Here is a 3,220-nt window from a genome sequence, read left to right on the forward strand (position 1 = left end):
TTATTTTATTTTGAGAAAAGAGATTTTTGGAAATCCACTCCAATATACAGAAATTTTCTACTAATCCTCTAAAACTTCAGTTTTGAGAAGTATACAGTTTGAATTCTAAAACACAACATCTATTACTACAACCAGTCACCTGCTTAATTGTCATATGATGAAGATTGTTAATGTTTCACTGATTAAGTAAAAAAATTGCCCCCAAATCTATTTTATCCATAGCATTATTTAATATACTGTCACTTTAGAAGCATATTTGTACATAATAATTTCTCTGTTTGCCAAAACTCTTTCAGTCATCAGTGACAAAAATAACACAATGAAACTTGACTAACAAAGCTTGGAAATTTGTCTATTCCCTAGAAATGACTTCAAGCACAAAAGAATCTAATGGCTTAAATGGTCATTTCAGAGCCCTGTATCAATCTGTAATTCCCTCTGAAAATTGGTTTTATTTTGCAACTATCATTCTTCCTTGCTACCATGCTATATAGCCACCTAGTAGTTCAAGGGCCTTTTATTGTGTGTTACAGAGCAAGTTACTGTGCCTTTTTCACAGGCTCTACCTAACATGTTTCAGGGAATAATCTTATTGGCCCATCTTGTGGATGCAGAATTCTAATAGGCTCCCTCTGAGTTCTAAGCCCACCTTTTTGTTGAGAGATGAGGCATTGTTATTGATGATTCCATCTATATTGAGTTATGAAGAGACTACTTAAACAAACAAAACCAGATCACCACCTGTAACAACACCAAACAAACAAAACCAAGAACTAGGAAAATGAGGAAAAAATATCTGACTGAATGAAAATTATGTTGGTTAACTCTTATAATGATTGTCATATATAGCAATACAATAACTAGTAGTAACTAGATTTCAATTATAAGGTATTTGTGATATTGCTATGATGAAGTCAACTAAGTTTGCCATTGTATGTCAAAAAAAATAAAATAACAAAAAATTTGCTAAGAAAACTAAGTGATAAAACCCCCCTCCCCCAATACAAGGCAATACTTTTAGGCAGAGTGGACAAACAGAAAGAATGATGTCATGACAGTTATTTATACCTAGGTTGAAATATTGACTTAGTCACTTACTATCTTGATGGATTTGAACAAGTTCTAATTCTCCAGAAGTTGTTTTGTAACTTGTAATTGGAAACATATAATAGCCTTTTAAAGCAGCAATCCTCAACCTTTTTGGCATCAGGGGCTGGTTTCATGGAAGACAGTTTTCCACAGATGGGCAGAGGGGATGTTTAAGGGATGATTCAAGTGTGTTACATTTATTGTGCACTTTATAACTATTATTATTACATTGCAATACATAATGAAGTAATTATACAATGCACCATTATGTAGAATCAGTAGGAGCCCTGATCTTGTTTTCCAGCAACTATAGAGTCCCATCTGGGGATGATGGGAGACAGTGACATATTATCAGAAATTAGATTATCATAAGGAGCATACAATCTAGATCCTTCACATGTGCAGTTCACAGTAAGGTTTGAGCTACCATGAAAATCTAACGCTGCTGCTGATCTGACAGGAGATGGAGCTCAGGTGGTAATGCAAGCAATGGGGAGTGGCTGTAAATATAGATAAAGCTTTGCTCACTCACCTGACATTCACCTCCTGCTGTGCAGACTGGTTCCTAACTGGCTGTAGACTGGTTCCAGTCTATGGCCTGGGGGTTACGGACCCCTGTTTTAAAGTGCTGTGCATTGGAAATGTTTATGTAACCTTTGCAGGCAATTAGAAGATACTTCATGAACAAGCCATGAAATATGATGTTCTCTACAAGGTGTCCAATCTTTTGGTTTCCCTTGGCCACATTGGAACAAGAGGAATTATCTTGGGCCACACATAAAATGCACTAACACTAACAAAAGCTGATGAGCTAAAAAAAAATTCACATAAAAAAATCTCATAATGTTTTAAGAAAGTTCACAGATTTCTGTTGGGCCACATTCAAAGCTGTCCTGGGTCACATGCAGCTCATGGACTGCAGGTTGAACAACCTTGATTTACATTCTTATAATATGTAATGTTATTTTATTAAATTATTTTAATTGTCTGGCAAAGTTATATCACAAGGTATTAACCAGTGAATTTTGTGTATTTTATTTCCGTCTAACTTTCTTTCTAGTACCTGAAGCAATACAGAAGGAGTACTTAATGTTCAAATAAAGTCATTGACCAAAGTATGGAACAGAAAATATAAATGCATATTTTTAAAGCAAACATTTCATCTCCTAAAGACAAGATAAGACATGGAATGAGAAGGAGAAATAAATTAATCCCACCATCCAACAGTGAAAGAAAAAACACAGAACATGAGGAGGACCAGAAAGCAATGTGAAAAAGAGTTGAAAGGAGTCACTGCTGAGCTATTTTAGATTCTACACCCTCTATCCAGCCATGAACCTATCAGCGATCATGCCTAACTATTGCATACCCCATTAGACAACCTAATGTGAATGTAGGAAGCCTATTCATCTAAAGGACATGGAACCGAGTAGATGTAACTGATACTTCACTATTGACCTATAGCCTATTAAGATCTACCATGAGTCATATACATTTGACACCGTGGTTTTCATTTCATAATACATATCTTCACTAATTTTGTCTATCATTTTGTCAAAGGGCTAAAACTATAGTAATGAGTACATTCTTAATGAGTTTTTCTTTAACTACCACAATTTGTATCTAAATTTTGTCTCATCTTATGTTCTAAAATTGTCACAGCAAAGTGATCAAGGAAGCTAGAGATTTTACATATGTTCTTCTCAATAAGATGGCTGTATCTCTTCTATATCAAGTAAATAAATCCTTGATACATGAATGAAGTAATGGTTCAGTAAACAAATTAAATATGATACGACTTTATTTGTTGGTTCTTTACATATTTATGTTTTACTTCACTGGTCTACAAATTACCTATACTGAAACTTCATACTCGTTTATTATTTGGAAGTATTTAGCAAAAGAATTATCCTACCTGAATGTGTCACAGAAATCCACAAAACACTCCTGGGATGTAAATTCTAATTCAATAATCCACAATACCTTGAATGTGGCAAGTCTTAAATATGTCCTTCGGCATATTAACAAATATTATATATAATAGGCTAATATTAAATTCACATAGTTTTTATGCCACAAGTGCTATAAGAATTTGAAAAAAAAAACCCAAGTTTTTGAACATATAAAGTTT

General features: G+C 34.0%; 1 long non-coding RNA gene across 1 annotated transcript; it reads left to right on the plus strand.

Moving 5' to 3' along the window:
• The first annotated feature begins 709 nt into the window (after window positions 1–709).
• Window positions 710–2,892, plus strand: LINC02353 (long intergenic non-protein coding RNA 2353). Its single transcript, NR_134672.1, has 2 exons — window positions 710–815; window positions 2,150–2,892. It is a non-coding gene; the product is annotated as a long intergenic non-protein coding RNA 2353 (long non-coding RNA).
• Window positions 2,893–3,220: the final 328 nt, after the last annotated feature.

The sequence above is a fragment of the Homo sapiens genome, chromosome 4, assembly GCF_000001405.40.
Source record: "Homo sapiens chromosome 4, GRCh38.p14 Primary Assembly".
Taxonomy (NCBI): domain Eukaryota; kingdom Metazoa; phylum Chordata; class Mammalia; order Primates; family Hominidae; genus Homo; species Homo sapiens.